Below are 20809 nucleotides of genomic sequence, written 5' to 3'. Positions count from 1 at the left end.
ACTGTGCTGTACCTTTTTCTATACCCAGAATCATTTTCAAGGATCGCTTCTCAGAATTGCAACTGTCCAGGCAGACACAGCACGAACATTTTAAGGAGCTTGATAACTTCTACAAAATTTCTTCCCACGAACAATCATACGGCAGCCAGCCTCCCATCCTGCAGCCAGCGCTGGGTGCCGCTCAGCACTGTGCATCTCACAGGTAGGGCCACTCACTTCTGTTCTCGTTTGTGTTTTTAGATCACTGCAGATAACGTGCATTCTTAGCCAAGAATTCACAGGGAGTCTCCGGAGTTTTCCTCCTTTACTGCGCCTTCTATGGCAAGGCCACGAACACTGTTTCCTGTGTGTCACAGATGTCTTCCCCTTTTTATTAGCATAATCTAGCTTTTTGAGTCTATCATGGCATGGTTCCTCCCTGTGGTCCCCTGAAGGCCATTCTTCTCTGCCCTTTGAGGAACTCCAGCCTCTCCCAGGCTGCCCTGCTCCCTGCTCCCAGCAAAGCAAAGCAGGGAGAGTTCTGAGGTGAGCGGCCCCATTCACCCTTTCAGTCCAGGCTCCATCATCTGGTCCCCTTTCACAGTGTGACATGCCAGAGCACATCATTCTTACAATTAAAAAAAGGGAAAACCAAGCTCTATGCTGAAAAGCAACTAAATAGTACATGGAGCAGACAGACTTCAGGGGCAAACCTAAGGGTTCTACATGAAGCACGAGAAGCACAGTCGTCCGGCCCAGCTCCCTCCATCAGCCGCATGGATGCCCGTGAGTCCCGGAGACAGGCTGCTTTCTCAGGGTGATGCTAGAGCTAAGAGAGCACAGTCGTCCGGTCCAGCTCCCCTCCATCAGCTGCATGGACGCCCGTGAGTCCTGGGGCCAGCCTGCTTTCTCAGGGTGATGCTAGCTCTAATTTAGTATCTATCAGCAGATAACAGAAGCTCCTCTGAGGCTTCAACCAAACCAGCTCCCACCCAACAATGTGCAATAAGAAAGCAGCTAAATCTATGACTCGACAAGCATTTCTTTAAAAAGAAAAAATTAAAAAACCAAGAAAAGCAAGCAGCTAAATTACAAAAGAAAACCAATCCCCAAACTTCTGCCAGCAGACCCCAGGTGACGTCAAATACAAAGGTTGTTTCCATACTAGCAAAATACTTTATTTTTATAATGATAAAACAAGGAAAGTAAAGATTTCTTTTTGGTGTATACCAGAGTTAAGGGCAGTAGAAGAATATGGGGATTAATAGGACTTTTATGAACTTTTGATGACAATAAAAAGTTAACAATACCAACCGTTTGCCATAAAACTTATCATAGCTCCCCCAAAACACACATATAAAGGATCATAGTTTTAAAATCTATAAAAGTAAAAAATATACAGTTGGAAGCTCTAGCGCTTATTCCATCTTTCATATAAAATTGTAAACATTTATTTACACAAAGCAAATGTGTATAACAAAAGTCTGAGCACCCTTTTCTTCTGAGTTGTGGCTCCTGGAAGACGGGGCTGTGCACAGAAGCAAAGTCATCTCCTCCCCTGACTCCCGAAAACCAGGTTCATAAATAAAGCCATGGGCAGCTCCCTGGGGGGACCCCAAGAATCACATTTTATTGCTATGACACTGCAGCAAGTGAGGAGCCCCCACTGTGTCGCCGGCCCCAGGACTAAGGCGGAGTGCAGGGCCAGCGAGCCCCGGGGACAGGGGTGGGAGACGGGGCAGCAGCCAGATGGGGTCAGGAGAGGAACAAGGATCCACAACCAGCCTTCAGCCGATTTTTGGGAGAAAAGCCGCTGAGGTCACCCTCTTCCCCTTCAGATTGGGGAACTCCCTCAGAGGGTGAAATTTTCACTGGCTTTATGATTCACCCCTTCTTTGAGAGCTAAACTGAGTACATGGGAAAGGTAGGGAAGGTGTTTTAAGGAGAAATGGCCGACATACCACTTGGGGTGGCAAATGGCTATTAGAAAAGAAGATCTGAGGGTCCAAGTACCCCCAGTGAGAAAGGCACTGCTGGTGCAAAATAACTACCAATGTGTGTACAACCTCTCGTCCCCTCACCGCGACTCAGGCTGGTTGCATGAGTATTTTCCTTGGCTCAATTCTCACATAGGACACTCCTGAATGATCCATTGGGAGACTCCAGGGAAACAGAAGTGGGGCTGCAGTTTCTCCACAGAACACTCTGCATCTGAGCCACTTTTCAGCATTCTCTTTTCTCTCCACCATTCTGTGTAAAAGGGTCTCACCCTGTGCTTACCACTTTGCTTTCGTTACGGGGAAGTGCTCTCTCCATCTTCGTTTTCCAAAAACAGCTCACATGTCATATTCTATTTCGTGGACCCTCAGCTTAGTCAAGTCCACTTGAATCTTTAGAAAGGATGTCTTAGTGTTATAAAGCAATCTCTTTAAGAAGTGCAAGTCATCTGACATGGGAGTGGCAGAAGTTGTCAAACCAAGTGGAATTGCTTCCTCCGGGCCGGCCTACGGCCTCCTTCCCCAAAACCTTTATGCTAAGGTTCCCTTAGGAATTCTAAGACTCTTCCTTTCCCTCCAATGGAGTAAATAATTGTTTTCCATTTGGGCTGCAGAGAGGAAGGAGAGGCAGACAGAAAGGCCAACGGTAAAGGAAAGACATCTGTGCACAACTGCACAGTGACCACGCTCCCACCATGGGCAACATACATGTTCAGAGAAAACTGCAGAAGGTGGGGAGACATAATACTCCAGGATACAGGACCCCCACATCTCTACCTTCCATATGTAGCCTGGGGTCCTGCTGCCAGGACATGGGAGGAAGGGATTCCTGGGGGCCTTGGGAGGGAGGAGGAGGAGCTGCTAGGAAGACCCTAGCTGTGTCACCAGACCTGCTATCCCATGCCTCCTGTCCCTTTTTGGCATACGCAGTCAACAGCCTGCACTTAGGGAAATAATTTTCCAGTGGCCTCCTTCTCCCCTGAAAGCTGACAAAGAGCAGAAACAAAAAAGGCTCTTAATCAAAAGGAAACCCTAGGTTTCCAATGCCACTTAATTGATTTAAACCATCACCTACCCTAATCTGTTTAAAAACCTTTTGTAAAAAAATTTAAAAATCTTTTCTATGCTACAAATTGCAAATAATTCTGCTATCTAAAGTTTCAACAGAAACTTGTCCCCAGCACTGGGGTAAGTGGAGCAGTCTTGGATAAAATCACCATGATGGCACAGATTTTTATAAGCCCGACAGTGTGGGGTTTCACTGGTGTTACTGTTGGTTTTTTGGTCGTTTGGATAGAAAACCACCTTTAGAACCCTATCCTGCTGTCCCAACACCAGGTACTGATGCCAGCAGATGGGCTGGGGCCAGCCCGATGGACCTCAACTGCTGGCCTGAGGGGCGCAGCCACAGACCCTGCCCAGGGCCAGGCCTCACCTGGAGCTTGGGCTCTACCTGCCCAGCTCCCCAGGCCATGGGCTTTTGGTCCAAAGTAGTTGCTCTTTCTTTGAATCTGAGAATAAAAATATAGGATGAATGAACACTAAAAACACTACAAATCCTTCCATTACTGAGACCCTAACAGGTCGTCCAAATCACTCATCCACTCCTCTGAAGTCCTGTTCTTCAGCAGGGAGTCGATCAGATCGGTGTGTCCAGCCACACTAGAGAGCCCACTGCCACCTGGCTGCCCGCTATAGGCAAAAGGCAGCTCCTGGCCCGCGGTCCGCACAGGGTAGGCCTGGGTGCAGTGCAGCCCCGCCCGACCGCCCATCTGTGAGGCAGGGCTCTGGCTGAAGGCCCCCAGCTCAGGCCCTGCTGGGCTCAGGCCAGGCAAGCCCTGCTGAGGGGCTGTTGGGGGTGGTGCTGGGGCAGGGGCGCTGGTCCTCTGCTGTGCACTCACTGGGGGTAGCAAGGACCCCACGGCAGCTGCTGAGCTCATGGGAGCCATGGGCCTGTTGGGCACTGCCTGGGAGAATTGCGGGCTAGACATTTTCAGGTGGGCCTGCTGCTGCATGTGGAAACTGGAGGCTGCAGTGAAGGGACTCACGTTGCTGTTCCCTGGGGTCTGGCCACTGAGGTTCGGCATTCCCTGATGCTGCCAGGAGGAATTCTGGCCTCCCATGGCTGGTGACACCCTTGGGACCGGTGGCTTTGTTAAACCAGGGTTCAGGGTCCCCTTATTGTGCTGCTGGGAGAGGCCAGAGCTTCCCAGAGAGTTCTGCCCATAGGCAGCTGAGACGGAGGTGTTCTGGCCCACGTTGGTCTGCCGTGGAATGTGGGCATGTCCATTGGTGGCCTGTGGCGGGGGCTGGGCAACTATCTGGGTTATGCCAGAAGCCATGCCATAGAGGCTGCTCTGAGGCATGTTTTGGGAGCCAGGGAACTGAGCCACACCCCGGTCCTGTTGGCCTGAGTTTGTGGGGAGAGAGGAAACTGAAGCATGTCCAGGGCCCATTGGCATCAGATTCCCAGCCTGAGGGAACACTCGAGGACAGCTGGAGTTGGATGGACCCAAGGTGTTCATGCCGGGCACGGCAGCAGAGGACCCTACAAGACAGAGAAGAGTCTGGCAGTCAGGAGTCGACCACCACTGGGTCCCTCTGAGACTCGAGCCGCAGCACCAGAAGTCTCACGTTCACGGCACACTGGGAAGAGGGCCCCGGGGGCCATGGGGCAGAAAGCCTTCCACAGGTGGAATGGAGGCCTGGTCTCTGAAACAATGATGGGGTTCAGAAAGGCACAGAGGAAGGGCAAAGCCCCAGGGGAGAGAAAACCAGTGACCTACTTCATCTAACTTTCAAGCACCCACCAAATTTCTGCTCTGTGGGGACCCTGTGGTGGGCACCGGGGACTCTGAGGTGGACCCAACGCAAGATCCGCCTCTGGGAGGCAAAGTTAGCACATGGCACGATGGGGCGCAATGGGGCGCGATGGGGCGCGCCTGGCCAGCAGGCTGCAGGGTGCAGGCTGGAAGCCCTGGCATCTGGGAAGCCTTGGGCAAGGCTTGAGAGAGACAGTGATGAATCCACTAGGTTTAAAAGCACAGAAGTTTAGCAATTTAACAGTTTGGGGAAAAAGAGCATTCCAGGCAAGTGTGTGCAAAGGCAGAGTCAGAAAAAGGCATCTGTGTGGGGAACTTTCAGAGACTGGCCGTGGCCGGGATATGCAGACAGTGGCCAGCTGGTTAGAGATAAAATGGAAGAGCTAGTTCCGGCCAGATAGGGAAGAGCTGTGGATGGCGTGTGAAGAACGGGGTTGTGGCCGGGCGCGGTGGTTCACGCCTGTAATCCCAGCACTTTGGGAGACCGAGGCGGGCGAATCACGAGGTCAGGAGATCAAGACCATCCTGGCCAACATAGTGAAACCCTGTCTCTACTAAAAATACAAAAATTAGCCAGGCGTGGCGGCGCGCGCCCCCAGCTACTCGGGAGGCTGAGGCAGGAGAATTGCTTGAATCCGGGAGGCGGAGGCTGCAGTGAGCCGAGATCATGCCACTGCACTCCAGCCTAGGCGAAAGAGCAAGACTCTGTCTCAAACAAACAAACAAAGAACAGGGTTGTAAAGCCCAAGAGTGGCTGGACTGAGAGTGTGGCTGAGACCATGCTGGGGAGAGGCTGTTCAGTCACGGAGATGAGGGAGGGCAGACCATGTGGGAATGGGGGGTGGAGGTGCAGAACTGTGTGACAACATCTCACCAGACAATATACCATCTTATGGCACACCATTTATACTATGAAATGACAAGGTGGCCAAAGGAGGGAGGAGTCGCAGGAAATTACCAGATCTTCACTGAGTACCCACTCTGTGGCAGGTGCTGTGCTGGAGAGACAGCAGAGGGTGGAAGAGAAAGCACCCCTATGCTCAGGGAACTGCTGTCTAGGCCTCCTGGCTTAAGCAATGGACATATGACAACACCATTAACTGAATTAGGTTTTGTGGGTAGGAGAGTCATTGTTCAGGGATTGGCCGTAACTCAGTGCTTTGTTCTTCTTCCTCTCTACTAGCAACCATATAATAAAAATTGGGGCCGGGCACGGTAGCTCACACCTGTAATCCTAGCACTTTGGGAGGCCAAGGCGGGCAGATCACGAGGTCAGGTATGTGAGATCAGCCTGGCTAACATGGTGAAAGCCCATCTCTACTAAAAATACAAAAATGAGCCGGGCGTGGTGGCAGGCGCCTGTAATCCCAGCTGCTTGGGAGGCTGAGGCAGGAGAATCGCTTGAACCTAGGAGGTGGAGGTTGTAGTGAGCCAAGATCGTGCCACTGCACTGCAGCCTGGGCGACAGACCAAGACTCTGTTTCAAAACAACAACAATGAAATTGGGTTGAGGAAAAGAGGAGAGCTGAAACCGGCTATTTCATTCCCATCAATAATCCACAAAATGTCAGATGGGTCTGAAGGCAGAAAACATGGGTCAGACCCATGCTTCTGAAATGCCTGCAGATTTCAACCCCACGTTGACCCCAGGTAGCACATACATAAAACCGTACCTGGTCTCCTCCAGGACACACAGCTGTGGTCAGTCTCTCTGGGACCCTTTATAGCAAGGTCCCAAATAAGGAAAAACAGAGGTTTCTAAGACATTCTGAGAGGAGCTAGGAAGGCGGGCAGACCAGAGCTTCCTGTATCCATTCCCTGAAATCTTTGTGCATTTCTGGAGGGATGGCCTATGAAGTTCCCTGGCACATCTCAGAGGCGACAGCTAGACTCAAGTGTGCTTCCTGCCCTTTTCTGGCCAACTGTCCACTAGTGATGCTGCCATCTGTGATATTCAAGTGAGCAGACAGGAGGAGAGAAAGAAGCCAAAGGCCACGCAAGTGCATTAAGTCCTTATCTGGAAGATAGGAGTCATTTTTTGAAGACACATAAAAGCAGAAGCAAAGAACTTTCTTGAGAATTACAGAAGCTATTTCCTGCTGATAAGATGTCCTCCAACTAGAAATGATTTTGCTTCAGAAAACTGTACAGCCAGGGACCCAGCAAAGGTAGTTCTAGTGGTTTGCCTCTGTGCCCTCTTCTCCTGATGCCGTGGAGTAACTAGAAAACCAGGCCCCTTAGGCAAACTGAGGTGTATATGATGACAATGCATGCAGCCTGATGAAGTCAAGGCATAGAGCTGGGCAGACAGCAGGGATTCAACCAGCACCAGGCAGCGGCCTCCCCTGTCCCTGCTCGTCACACAGACACCCCCTACCTGTGAACTGTCCAACCTGCTGTGGGAAGCTGCCTTGTGTCGGGTCTTGGTACTGGGGTGGTGGGCGGGTCAGATGGCGCTGAAACTGTTGCTTCTCCTAGAAAATGCCAAGAACAACAAAACAAAACCAACATATAACAAAATCCAAAACAAAGGGAGTGAGGGAGGTCAGAGAAAAGTAACTTATCCAAGTTTGTTACTCACAAATGGGCTCCTGTGGAAATAGTGCTGATTTCATTTTGGGGTTTTTAAATAGTATGAAACAGATCTAGGGAGCAATGACTTTTTTAAAAGGTAGGTATACCTGTTTTTAAAAAATGGAGAGCTGGTTAGGAAAATGCAAATCACAGCTACAATGAGATCCCACTAGGATGGCCAGAATCAAAGTCAGATGATAACAAGTGGTTGGTGAGGATGTAGAGAAATCAGCACCCTCATACACCGCTGGTGGGAATGTAAAATGAGACAGCCTGTGGGAAACAGTCTGACAGTTCCTCCAAAGGTTAAACATAAAAATTACCATGTGATCCAGCAATTCCACTCCCAGGTATCTACCCAAGAAAAATGAAAACAGATGTCTATATGAAAACTTGTACATGAATGTTCATAGCAGCAATACTCATTAACAGCCCAAACAAGAAACCCAAATGTTCATGAACAGACGAATGAATAAAATGTAACATGTCCATACAATGGAATATTATTATCAAGAGGAATCAATTGCTGTTACCTAGCACATGATTGAAAATGACATAACATAAATATAAAATGTCCAGAACAGACAATTTTTTTTTTTTGAGATGGAGTCTTGCTCTGTCGCCCAGGCTGGAGTGCAGTGGCGCGATCTCTGCTCACTGCAAGCTCCCCTCCCAGGTTCACGCCATTCTCCTGCCTCGGCCTCCCGAGTAGCTGGGACTACAGGCGCCCGTCACCACACTTGGCTAATTTTTTGTATTTTTAGTAGAGACGGGGTTTCACTGTGTTAGCCAGGATGGTCTTGATCTCCTGACCTCGTGATCCGCCCACCTCGGCCTCCCAAAGTGCTGGGATTATAGGAGTGAGCCACTGCGCCCAGCCCAGAGCAGACAATTATAGAGACAGAAAGTAGATCAGGAGCTGGAGAGGCAGGGTGGATGGGAGAATGGCTGCTCATGGGTATGGGATTTGTTTTAGGGTAATGAAAATGTTCTAAAATGGATTGTGGTAATGGTTGCACAACTCTGTGATATACTAAAAATGACTAAATTGTTCACTTACGTGGGTGAAGTGTATGCTGTGTGAGTTACATCACAATAAAGCTGCTTTTCTTAAAGGCAGAACTGAGGCAGGGATTGTCCTCAATGAACCTCACTGTCTGGAGCCAGTTCTTATGTCTTAAAGATGTAATTTAAGGCCAGGCGTGGTGGCTCACGCCTGTAATCTCAGCACTTTGGGAGGCCGAGATGAGTGGATCACTTGAGGTCAGGAGCTCAAGACCAGCCTGGCCAACGTGGTGAAACCCCATCTCTACTAAAAACACAAAAATTAGCCAGGCATGGTGGTTCTTGCCTGTAGTCCCAGCTACTCGGGAGGCTGAGGCAGGAGAATTGCATGAACCCATGAGGTGGAGGCTGCAGTGAGCCAAGATCGCACCACTGCAGTCCAGCCTGGGTGACAGCAAGACTCTGTCTCCAAAAAAAAAAAAGAACTCTCACTTGTAACCCTTAGTGCCTGCACACTACACTTGCTAACCAAGCGAGTGAACTGTGTTTCCCTCAGGGATGACTTCACTTCCCTCTTCACGTTCTGGCTTATAACAGGCTCTGTAGTGGCAGCAAAGCTGACTCCATAGTGGAATGACAGACACGTGAGCTCAGTGGCTTGGAAGCTGCTGACCTGAAACATAGGAAAATGTCCCTTCCACAAACAGTTTTAGCCCCCGAGTCTGCCTTGAGTACTCTCCACTAAGTGACACGAAGCAGCTTCTGACAAGACTACCCCTGTCTGAGAAATGCCACATTCCTGGAAAGATGTTTTTAAAAGGCAAAGCACTCTAACAACAGGCACGCAAGTCTGCGCAAATCCACACGCACAAGCAGAAGGTGTGACTGTAGCAGTGACGCAGGGTGCAGGCAAAGGTGGGAAGCGGTGGTTTCCTTCCACTTTTCTTTTTACCTGTTCCGCGAGAAGGTGCTGTTGCCTCTGAAGGAACTGCTGTTGCTGTAAATGCTTTTGCTGCTGCTCCCTTTGTTTCTGTTGGTCCAAAAGCAACTGATGCTGCTTCATTACAGCGGCCTGTTGCTGGCTGCTGAGATAGGGGGAGCTGTTGTGGGAGCTGGCCACGGACACGGCAGGCGGCTGGGTCCCAACACTGGTAGCCTGGGCTTGCACAGGGACACTGGAAGGGTTCTGCTCCTGTCAACACAGATAGGGGACTGTGAAGTCTCTAAGCTCTGATCAGACCAAATAAGCTCCATCCAGTGAATTCAAGGTTCACTCTCTTGAAGCCAAGTCTCTGCTTCCCTTCTGACCTCGAATAACAACCATCCCACAGGGCTGGAGCACAGACCAAAAGTGATGACATCTGAGCATACAGGCGCCTAGCAACGAACAATTACTCCATAGGTGTTAGTTTTACTCCCAGTGATTCACCAGTGACAAAGGTATGGTTTTACGTTAAGCATATGTAAGCTTTCATATTTGCACACAATAGTTCCAGTAAGCAATCGAGGCTTAGAAATGCTCACTTATCAGGACATCTGAGTGCAGAGCGGGCCAATAGGGGAAGAATACTTTTTGTTTTTTTTCAGACGGAGTTTCGCTCTTGTTGCCCAGGCTGGAGTGCAATGGCACGATCTTGGCTCACCGCAACCTCTGCCTCCCGAATTCAAGCGATTCCCCTGCCTCAGCCTCCTGAGTAGCTGGGATTAGAGGCATGTGCCACCACACCTGGCTAATTTTGTATTTTTAGTAGAGATGGGGGTTTCTCCATGTTGGTCACGCTGGTCTCGAACTCCCGACCTCAGGTGCTCCACCCACCTCGGCCTCTCAAAGTGCTGGGATTACAGGCATGAGCCACTGCACCCGGCCTAGGGGAAGAACACTTTGAAGGGGGCTTTGGTCAATGGAGACCACTCTGTCCCATGTGCATAAACCTTGGATTTCGGGCTATCCCTGAACGACCCGAAACTGTACATCTGCGCAAGCATTTTACTGGAAGAGACTGCTTAGCTTTTGTCAAATACCCATCCTCAAAAAATACTGAGAATCAATGAGAACTTTAACAGATATTCTCTGTCAATATATAGACCACAAGTGAGAGTCATGTCAAAGGCCACCACAATATTATCCCGTCATTACTGACACTTAGAAGAAAAGGGGAACTTAGCAGAAGATAGGCAAAAAGCAATCATTATTTAAACCAGTTCAAATTGTTGAGCTCCTTTCTAGTTATTCATTCTAAGATTCTGGTATAATTTCTTCACTCTAATCACCAGAAGCTTAAGAACTACTGAGAGTGCTTCGTAAGTTGCAAAGTGCTACCCAGATGGCAAGCACCCTCACTGTGTGCAGCTGAGCCTCTCTTCAGGGGGTGCTGAACGGCGTGAGACATCTTACTGGCTGAAGTAAGTGGAATTATCAGCACTGGGAGATGCTTAAATGGCTTACAGTTTTTGGCTATTAGAAATAACCACACAATGAATATCTTGGATATAACTTTTTCTTTTATTTTGGATTATTTCTTTAGATCAACTTGTCGGGTATATAGTGTGTCAATGCATATGAACATTTTACAGCATGTGAAAAATACATAATGTCAAATGACTTCCCAAAAGCAGTGAGCTCATTTACACACTCTCATCAATACAGGAGTGTGTCTATTTCCTCATGATATTACCGGCACTGGGCTTTTTAATTTGCAAAATTTTAGCATGTATTACAAATTCACGTTCACTGCAGGCTTATCTGCACTAGCGGAAAACAGGAAACAACCCGAAGGGCCATTTTCCATTTGATGCTACCGGGCTTTAGAACCATGATGAAGTAAGCACAGAGCTGAGCTGTGCTGGGAAGCAGCACATGCCTACAATGTTATAAGCTTACCAAAAATTAGGGAATTTTGTACATGGAGATCTGAAAGGTAGTAAAAAAAAAAAAAAAAAAAAAAAGCCAAGCCTCTAAGAAGCACGTGAAACGTAATGTTTATCTGCAAAACACAGTCGCAAATTACTTAATTTAAATCCTACGGCACGAAAGAGACAGTGGACTAAATGCAGGTGATTCCTGAAACCTTCGTGCAGTTAATAATCAAGCTATGCCAGGGAACTTTACCCTATTTTTTATTAACAATCAACCCTGGTTTATTTTATAAATTTCCACTCCCAAGAGGAGCAAGGATGACAGCAGCTATTCCCTCCTCCCTCTTCCCACAACTACCTCGGATCCAATTAACATCCAAAGTAGTGAGTAACCTCACTGAAGTGTCTGCAGCAGAGGAACAGAAAGCAAAGGCTCATACTTACCTGGCCAGGTGGAACCAGTGATCGGAAAGGCATATTTCCTGGCTTTGGCTTCATCAGAAACAGGGAGTTCTGCTCGTGACTTATATGGGACAGCTGCTGGGGAAGATAAGCCATCAGGGCTGGCTTGCTCTGGCCAGACCCCGGGCTGCCTTGCCCACAGTCCGCTTTGTAATGAGAAAGGGGTTTTGTATTGCCGTAGTCCAGCACAGACCCCTGGTTATTCGCGGAGTTCTGATTCAAGTTACTCGGTGGCTGGTGACTCAGCAGGTTCACATGGCTGGGCTGGAGGTAGGGGCCTCCGGGCCGAGGGGAACTCTTATTCACACTAGGCATCATGAGCAGTTTGGAGTTAGTGAAGTCTTGCTTGTAGCTGGAAGGGCTGGCAGGCTTCTCCATGGGGTAAGGGACATCTAAGGAACTGTGGGAGGGCCCCGTCTGCTGCCATGTGGACATCTGGCCCGGGGCTGGTGCCGGGGTGGCCTGCTGTGGGTTCTGGAGCATCTGCTCGCGCTTCTGCTTGGCAGCGATCTGCTGGAGCTGGTGGGCAGAGGACAGCTCTGAGGCCCCTCCTGGGCCCTGACTGGGCAATACCACACCTGCAAGGGCTCTTTGTGCGTTCTGGGCCTGGGCTGATGCCGGCATCAGGTTTGGACTGGGATTGTCCGCCCGGGGCTGACCAGAGGTGTGGAATAAGGTTTGGGAGCCCCCTAGGCTGGGGGAATCTGTACTCACAGGGGCAGAGGAAGGCCCCAGAAAGGTCTGCCCTGCAGACCCGGCCCTCACTTGTGGAGAGCCTAACTGTTCTTGCTCAAAGGCTGCTGGAGAGAATTCCGTCTTAATATTAATGTCCTGTGCCAAGGGGGTTTGTGTGGCAGAGCCAGAAGACTCTGGGTCCTTCTTCTCCTCGAAGTCCTCATTAAACAGGTCCTTCATGTCTTCATCGGGCACCGACCTGTTCAGCTCCTCGATGAGCTCCTTCCACTCCTGCTCGTTAAGGTTGAGGTCTGGCATGAGGTTGCTTTGCGATATGGAGCCGACAGTCCCAGTGATCATGCAAGGCAGGTCTTCGACAGGCTCCTGCTTCAGTTCTTTATTCAGGCTCAGAGGAAATGACTCACTGGGGTTACTGCCTCCATTCAAGTGAAGGCTGGAGTCAGCCAGACGCTTTTTGTTGAGAGAGTCTAGCCCCAGAGAGTGCTTCCCACTGGACTGCAGGGCGTCGGCTCCAGAAGGCTTGTCAGACTGACCGAGGGGGGAGGCTGGAGGCAGTCCATTGGAAGAGATGGCAACTCCCAGAGGGGCCTCCCGGCGAGTCTTCTTATGCCCAGGAAAGAGGTCCCCGTAGCCATTCTGTTGATCGCCATTCTGAGGGGAAGTGGCGCTGTCAAGATTCCTCTTAACTGTATCATGAAGATGCTGAAAAACATTGAAAAGAATGACTTAAGATACATATGAATTTGCTCTGCTATGACAGTAACAAGCCAAGGGCTGATGTCCCTGCAATGCTCGCCAGTGGGTTCTGCTTGCATAGTGTACACTCCCATTTCTGGGGACACACCTCCATTTTCCCTGACGGTCCTATACCTGGCCAGTCAGAACTGATGTCTAGCTAAAGTGCTTCTGCAGTCCTCTTTCTGCAGGAGACAGGCATGAGGCTGCCCACAGCCATCTCGTCTGGCGGTATGCCCAAGAATGGAGCCAACAAAAAAATGCCAGAGAGTACACACACACACACACACACACACATATATATATTATATATATATATATGTTTTGAGATGGAGCCTTGCTCTGCCGCCAGGCTGGGTGGAGTGCGGTGGCACAATCTCAGCTAACTGCAACCTCCGTCTCCTGAGTTCAATCAATTCTCATGCCTCAACCTCCCAAGTAGCTGGGATTACAGATGTGCACCACTGTGCCTGGCTAACTTCCGGTATTTTTTGGTAGGGACGGGGTTTCACCATGTTGGCCAGGCTGGTCACAAACTCCTGGCCTCAAGTGATTCACCCGTCTCAGCCTCCCAAAGTGCTGGGATTACAGGCATGAGCCACTGTGCCCAGCCCCTCACTTTTTTTTTTTTTGAGACAGAGTTTCGCTCTTGTTGCCCAGGCTGGAGTGCAATGGCGTGATCTTGGCTCACAGCAACCTCCGCCTCCAGGGTTCAAGCCATTCTCCTGCCTCAGCCTCCAGAGTAGCTGGGATTACAGGCATGTGCCACCATGCCCAGCTAATTTTGTATTTTTAGTAGAGACGGGGTTTCTCCATGTTGGTCAGACTGGTCTTGAACTCCAGACCTCAGGTGATTTGCCCACCTCAGTCTCCCAAAGGGCTGGGATTACAGGTGTGAGCCACTGCGCCCGGCCGGCCCCTCACTACTTCTTATTGGGACTATTTGCTTGAACATAATCTGTCTGGTGTGACACTGTGACTCTGCTTCCCATCTGCTCCTCGATGGATTCATGCCACTGAAGTTATTAAGATTCTGCCTTGTGCCAGAGACAAGTGCTGTGGGGAACATAAAGACAAAGAAGACAGCTCCTCCTCGGGTGGGCTTTCAGGACATGGGACATACACAGACAGGGCTACAGAGTGAGAGCAGCACACAGTAAGTACCCTGGGAGTTCAGGGGCGGCGATTTCAAGATAAGAACATGTCAGAAGGGATGGGAAGGGGACAGAAGACGGACTCCTTCTACTGCTTCCTCACCTGCATGTGCTGCAGTCAGGACTCAACTCCACTGCTCAGAGGGAGTGCCTATGCTCAGCTTCCAAACACATGCTGCTCCTTTCCTGTGTTTACTTTATTACGTTTTTGTCCTTTATCCCCCACCCCCAGTACCATCCCCCCTTCCCATAAACCCTAAGCATCTATAGCATGTTATTAGAAAATGTTCCAAGTAACAGCCCTCATTATTATCTTTAGACAGGATTCAGAGGAGACGGGGAGCCCCCTGTGCTAGCTTCTCCGGCTGCAGAGAAAGGCCACCTGACTCTCCACACCAACCCCAGGGGCCCAGGTGAAGTGCCCTGGCCTGGGCGTCCTGCCTGGGGCAACTCCACGGGCATCAGTTCTCAACAGCAGATTACCCACTGGACACCAGGGAGGACCATTTTCTCAACCTCTAATCCCCAATTCTAATGTTCCTGTTCTTCTTTTCCCCACATCAAGATTTGCTTATTTCTTAACTGTTAAAGCTGACTACACAGTGCTCTATAAATCCTAGCCAAGTCAGTATTTTTAAAAATCCATATATGGGTAACTAAGTCGGTCTGAAAAAAAAAAAAAATCGCAGGAATGCCTGACAAATGGAACTGCAGGGCAGAGGTAAGCAACAATCCTAGGATTCAGAACACCGCCCCACAGCTGCAGGACGTTTGCTTTACTTTCATGCAGGTTCTTCTGCTTTCTCCTGCCACCTAGGGGTGGAAGGGAACCACGCACATAAAATAGACCCTTTATAAAAAGCCATTATTTGAAAAGTTTTCCTTGTGGAAGGTAAATTCATACCCATTTAAATGGTCAGAGGAAATAAAAATTAGTTGCTAACATTTCCTTGATTTTCATCTTTTCTACCATTTTCTTTTGTTCCACAGTGCCAGGTCTGGGCTATCTGTAAACCTGGGAGCTCAGTTTTCCATCTTCCTAGGGGAAAAAGAAAGATGGAAATCTAAAGGGTCAAGGCACTTGATGAGTCAGCTGGTTGTCTCAGATTAGAAACAGAATCTTTCTTTGCCCTAACAATTACAAAAGCTACCACTCCCTCATTCAATATTCACATGCAAACAGCTGCAGACAAGTTCCAATGTAACAACTGAATTTTGTAATACCTATTGCTTTTAACCAAAGGAAACAGTAGGGCATTTTGTCAACTACTCACAAAATTTAACTGGAATAACGTAGACGGGGATAGGAGTGTGTAATGTGGTGGCCCCGGCAGATTTTTAAGCCCTGAGCATTTGCAGGAGTGTCTGATATGCAGGGCAAGGATGAGTGAGCCTTGGAGCCTGAACTCAAAGAATCACAATAGAGATGGGCAAACAGCCTGAACAGATTAAAAGTTATGTAAGAACAGACACAGAAGGTGCTATAAAGCAATACTAGACTGGCTGCCACGTATAAATACAGGAGCCTGCTCCAGCACATCTGGTACTTCTGGGTGCTCAGCTCAAAGGTTCCTGTTGTAACTACTGAAGAGTTTCTGCAGTGTACAGGGTTCCAGGAGGACCCAGTCCTGGGAGATAATATGATCAGATGCTCGTGGTCGGCTGGAGAACCACGTGTGCTCAGCCTTCCACCAAGACACCCCGCTGACCTAAGTCCCATCCTAGCCTGTGCCAGCTCCCTCGCTGGGAGGCCACACTCTCCAGGCGCCACCTGCCATCCTCTGCTCTGGGAGAGGAGCTCCAGGATACCACCACTGCTCTGAATCAAGCTGGAGCTGGCCACACCTTTTGGACTCCTAAGCAGCATCCTGTCAGTCTCTCACCCACCATGCACTAGCCTTATAGGAAGGATAATCCTTTGCCTATCTCCACTTCCTCCTTCTTCAACCACCCACCGCTGCACTCCCAGAATGCTTTGTGGCCAAACTCACCAAAAAATGACAATACCTACATGCTTCCACTCTGAGCTGACAGACACAGCTGCTGAAGACACGCGTGGTTCTTTCATGAGTGCTCCTTACACACTGGCAGCCAATGCCCCTTTCTAGCCCTACTCATCAGGAAATTTGCTTTTCCTCCTGCCTCCTCTTTTTTACCTCTTCTATCATCTTCCTGTCAGCCAAACTCCACCAGTTCCCACCCCTTAGAGCCAGCACCTTGATCTATGGCAATATGGATTACATTCCTGGCCAATCTGGAAATCAATGGGATGTGGGGAAAAGGAAGGGAGGAGTTGAGAACTGCTTTCTCCAAGGCCAGCAATGATCTTCCTACTGTTACACATAGGCCATATTTTCAGTCCTTCCTTTCCCTCTCTCCCTGCACTCCCTTCCTCTCCCTCTTATCATCTGCCACTTAATAATTCATCTTTATTATTATTATTGAGACGGAGTTTCACTCTTGTTGCCCAGGCTGGAGTGCAATGGTGCAATCTCGGCTCACTGCAACCTCTGCCTCCCAGGTTCAAGTGACTCTCCTGCCTCAGTCTCTCGAGCAGCGGGGATTACAGGCGTGCACCACCATGTCCAGCTAATTTTGTATTTTTAGTAGAGATGGGGTTTCGCCATGTTGGCCAGCTGGTCTCAAACTCCTGACCTCAGGTGATCCGCTCACCTCGGCCTCCCAAAGTGCTGGGATTACAGGTGTGAGGCACCTCACCCAGCCCTTTATTAATTTTTTTTAAGAGACAGGGTCTCACTCTGTCACCCATGCTGGAGTACAATGGGTGATGATCAAGGCTCATGGCAGCCTCAAACTCCTGGGCTCAAGTGATCCTCCCGCCTCAGCCTCCTGAGTAGCTGGGACCACAGGCATGAACCACCATAACTGGCTAATTTTTTTGCTTTTGTGGAGACAGGAGTCTCACTATGTTGTCCAGGCTAGTCTCAAACTCCTGGGCCGAAGCGACCCTCCTGCCTCAGCCTCCTAAAGTGCTGGGATTACAGGTGTGAGCCATTGCACCTGGCCTCCTTCCATCTTTTTTTTGAGACGGAGACTCGCTCTGTCACCCAGGCTGGAGTGCAGTGGCGCGATCTCGGCTCACTGCAAGCTCCACCTCCCGGGTTCATGCCATTCTCCTGCCTCAGCCTCCCAAGTAGCTGGACTACAGGCGCCTGCCACCACGCCCGGCTAACTTTGTTTTTGTATTTTTAGTAGAGACGGGGTTTCACTGTGTTAGCCAGGATGGTCTCGATCTCCTGACCTTGTGATCTGCCCACCTCGGCCTCCCAAAGTGCTGGGATTACAGGCATGAGCCACTGCGCCCGGCCTGCTTCCATCTTTAAAGTTCCCTTTTTCTTTACCACTTTTCTTGTATCCTCTTCTGCTTTTATGGTTGGTTGTTTCTAGTATCCTTTGAGAAGTCTCCCCTTCTCCTGCCCTTCTATCAAATAGTACAGTCCTCTCCCCCTTTTACTCTACATAGTCTACCTGAGAGATTTCACACATTCCCATGCCTTCAAATTCCCATGACTGAACATCACACTCAAATAAACCCAACTGTCTGGGAACCAAACGCTGATCCACTCAGCCCTTGTCCCTTCCAACTTCCCTCATAGCCCTCCCTGCTGTGCAGCATGCTGGGGTCATGCGGCTGGCTTACAGCTTATAGCTTCTCAAATGTGCCTGCTCAGTGCTGCCTGGGGCCTCTGCACCTGCTCTTCTCTTTGCCCAGAGCACCTCTTCCCTCTAACTTTTCTGGGGATGACTCAGCTTCTAATTCAGGTGGCTTATCTCCTCCATCATCCACATCACCTACCACCCACACCATAGTACTTTCTTGCTGATCCCCTCACCAGAGGCACTCATCTAGTGTCAGGGCCTAACCCGACACTAGAATGCCAAGCAGAGACCCCAGTGCCTTCGACAGTGCCCAGCACTTGATAAGTGTCTGTGAATAAATGTGCCATCTGATGCCCCACCTCTGCAGAGCTCTTACTTCTGTCTATCCGAAGACCTACTGAGCCCCTGTCCACTTGAGTGATGACTCAGATGACATCTGTCCAAAGCTGAGGCCAGCCTCTCCCCAGTCCTGTTTCCTTTCCTCTGTTCCCACATAAGACTGTCACTACCAGCCGCCCTGTCACATAAACCAGAAACCAGCCTCCCTCCCGCTCCTCCTTAGTCCCTACATACAACTGGTACCCAAGTCCTGTAGAGTCTACCTCCTTAATATTTCTTGAACCCACCCACTTCTCTCCATTCATTAACACACATATCTCTCACTTGAATTATTTTAACCATGTGTTGAGATCCTGCCCTCCCAACCTGTGTTCCTCATCAGAGTCAGAGGGACTCCACCAGCGTGGCTCACTGGGACTCCACGTGAGGGTAGGACTTACAACATCAGAAGTTTTTAAGGCAATAATTGTTAACTATTGGCAATTCCAACCCAATCCCATGGTCAACATTTCTCTCCCAGTCCCTGTATGTCCACAGGACACTCGGGAGCCCTGACCCTCTCTTCAGGTAAAGTAGGTCCATTTCATGAAACACTCAAGTTTTCAGTGACTTGAGGAAGGGAAATCCATGTCAAGTAGCAACTTGTTAATTTGATAAAGCACAAATCTGAACCAAGTGCTGTAGGAAGAAGTCCTGACTTAAGTCATGTGCTTGCTGACCCCTCATTTCCAGTTACTTATGATGTATTCCCAGTTAATCATTCTTAACCTATTATTCCCAGTGAATTCAGGATCTCACTCAACCTTCAAAACAACCCTAGAGGATGAGCATCATTGTTCCTGTTTTATTGCCACTGAAACTGAGAAAATTACACAAGGTTTCCTGAGGTTTGATGTCTCAAGAAGGATCCCTTCTGAATGCTGGGGTCTGCTGCCGACAGACTCCCTTTGTCAGAACAGACTTGGTGAATTGATCCCACTTCCGAGAGTGATGCCGAAAGAGAAGCTTGCATGTCAAACACCAGCAGCAGGACAGAGTGAGTCAGTTTCAAACCGTACAAATAGGAGCACCTTCGTGAAGCGCAGATACCCAGCAGCTGTCATTACCAGAAAAATGAACTGTGCTGTGAGGAAATCCCACATACCAGCGCCACAAACAATCTTTGTAATTTTTTTTTTTTTGAGTCGGAGTCTTGCTCTGTTGCCCCAGTTGGAGTGCAGTGGCACGATCTCAGCTCACTGCAACCTCTGCAGGTTCAAGCTATTCTCCTGCCTCAGCCTCCCGGGTAGCTGGGATGACAGGCGTGCGCCACCATGCCTGGCTAATTTTTGTATTTTGAGTAGAGACGGGGTTTCACCATGTTGGCGAGGCTGGTCTTGAACTCCTGACCTCAAGTGATCTGCCCACCTTGGTCTCCCAAAGTGCTGGGATTATAGGTGTGAGCCACCGCGCTGGGCCAGTAAAATATTTTTAAAAAAGAAAAAAAAATGGTCGGGTGTGGTGGCTCACGCCTGTAATCCTAGCACTTTGGGAGGATAAGGCAGGAGGATCACTTGAACCCAGGAGTTCAAGACCAGCCTGGGCAACACAGTGAGACGCCATTTCTAAAAAAAATAAATAATTAGCCAGGCACAGTGGGGCATATCTGTAGTCCCAGCTATTTGGGAGGTTGAGGTGAGAGGAACACTTGAGCCCAGGAGGGAGACTGCGGTGAGCCATGATCGTGCCACTGCACTCCAGCCTAGGGGACAGAGAAAGACCCTATTAAAAAAAAAAAAAAGAAAAGAAAAAGAAAAAAAAATCAGAGAACTGTCTAAACGTTCTAAAATTCCTGCTAGTAAAATTCCCACTTTTAAAGACATTATTTGTCTTACTAGTTTGGAATAGTCACTGATTTAGAATACAAACCACTCAGCATGATAAGAACTAAAGATCCCTATAAGCTCCATTCCTGTCACTGAATCCACTTGTCGAGGACATAGAGAAGGTAAGTTCCAGTTCCGGTATTTTCCAGAAAACTCTGTAGTTTGGTGCCTAAACGTTTTCACATCATCTTTTTAAATTTAAACGTTTTTGAAATAATTATACATTCACAGGAAATTGCAAAGATAGTACAGAGAGGTCCTGTGCACCCTTCACCCAGTTTCTCCCAATGACTGTGTTTTACGTAATTACAGCACAATATCAAACCCAGGAATCTGATATCAGTATAATGCATGTGTATAGTTCTATGTGCATATAACCATCACCTTTTTCGATGGAAAGTTTTTAAAGAGATTTTTTTAAAGCAAAGCTATGTAAGTATTTAACAATACAATCTCTTCCTGCAGGATAAGCAAAGTTAGAATTCACTGAGAAACAAAATTGTTAAATAGATTGATTCTTGTGCTTGGCAGGCAGTCAGTATATTCTCTTCACTAGAGAAAAACCAATTTGGGAAACCAGTGAGGCTCAGAAGGTTGCTTGGTAGACATGAGAACAATGCAGGCGATTGCTAACTGGATGTGTGACGTTAAGACATAACCCATTTAGAACCTGAAGATGGCTGGGTTAGATGATCTAGAGTTCC

General features: G+C 48.9%; 1 protein-coding gene across 1 annotated transcript in view, besides 2 other annotated features; it reads right to left on the bottom strand.

The window, feature by feature from the left end:
- The window catches only part of MAML1 (mastermind like transcriptional coactivator 1), a 44462-nt gene continuing 24788 nt past the window's right edge, over window positions 1136-20809 (bottom strand). The window contains exons 2-5 of the mRNA NM_014757.5: window positions 11678-13093; window positions 9330-9569; window positions 7176-7272; window positions 1136-4524 (exon numbers count right to left, since the gene is read on the bottom strand). Coding sequence (NP_055572.1) covers window positions 3542-4524; window positions 7176-7272; window positions 9330-9569; window positions 11678-13093 — 2736 coding nt within the window. The 3' untranslated portion in view covers window positions 1136-3541. The remainder of the gene's footprint in view (window positions 4525-7175; window positions 7273-9329; window positions 9570-11677; window positions 13094-20809) is intronic.
- Window positions 5064-5264: a silencer, noted in NCBI's record as "peak5609 fragment used in MPRA reporter construct". NCBI's record gives its function as "represses an SCP1 promoter by STARR-seq MPRAs in K562 erythroleukemia cells {active_cell/tissue: K562}" and the evidence as "EXISTENCE:reporter gene assay evidence [ECO:0000049][PMID:32103011]".
- Window positions 18092-18171: an enhancer, noted in NCBI's record as "active region_23759". NCBI's record gives its function as "activates an Ori minimal core promoter by ATAC-STARR-seq in GM12878 lymphoblastoid cells {active_cell/tissue: GM12878}" and the evidence as "EXISTENCE:reporter gene assay evidence [ECO:0000049][PMID:35858748]".

Source organism: Homo sapiens, chromosome 5 (genome assembly GCF_000001405.40).
Source record: "Homo sapiens chromosome 5, GRCh38.p14 Primary Assembly".
In the NCBI taxonomy this organism is placed as follows: Eukaryota; Metazoa; Chordata; class Mammalia; order Primates; family Hominidae; genus Homo; species Homo sapiens.
This window is presented reverse-complemented; position numbering and strand designations above follow the sequence as displayed.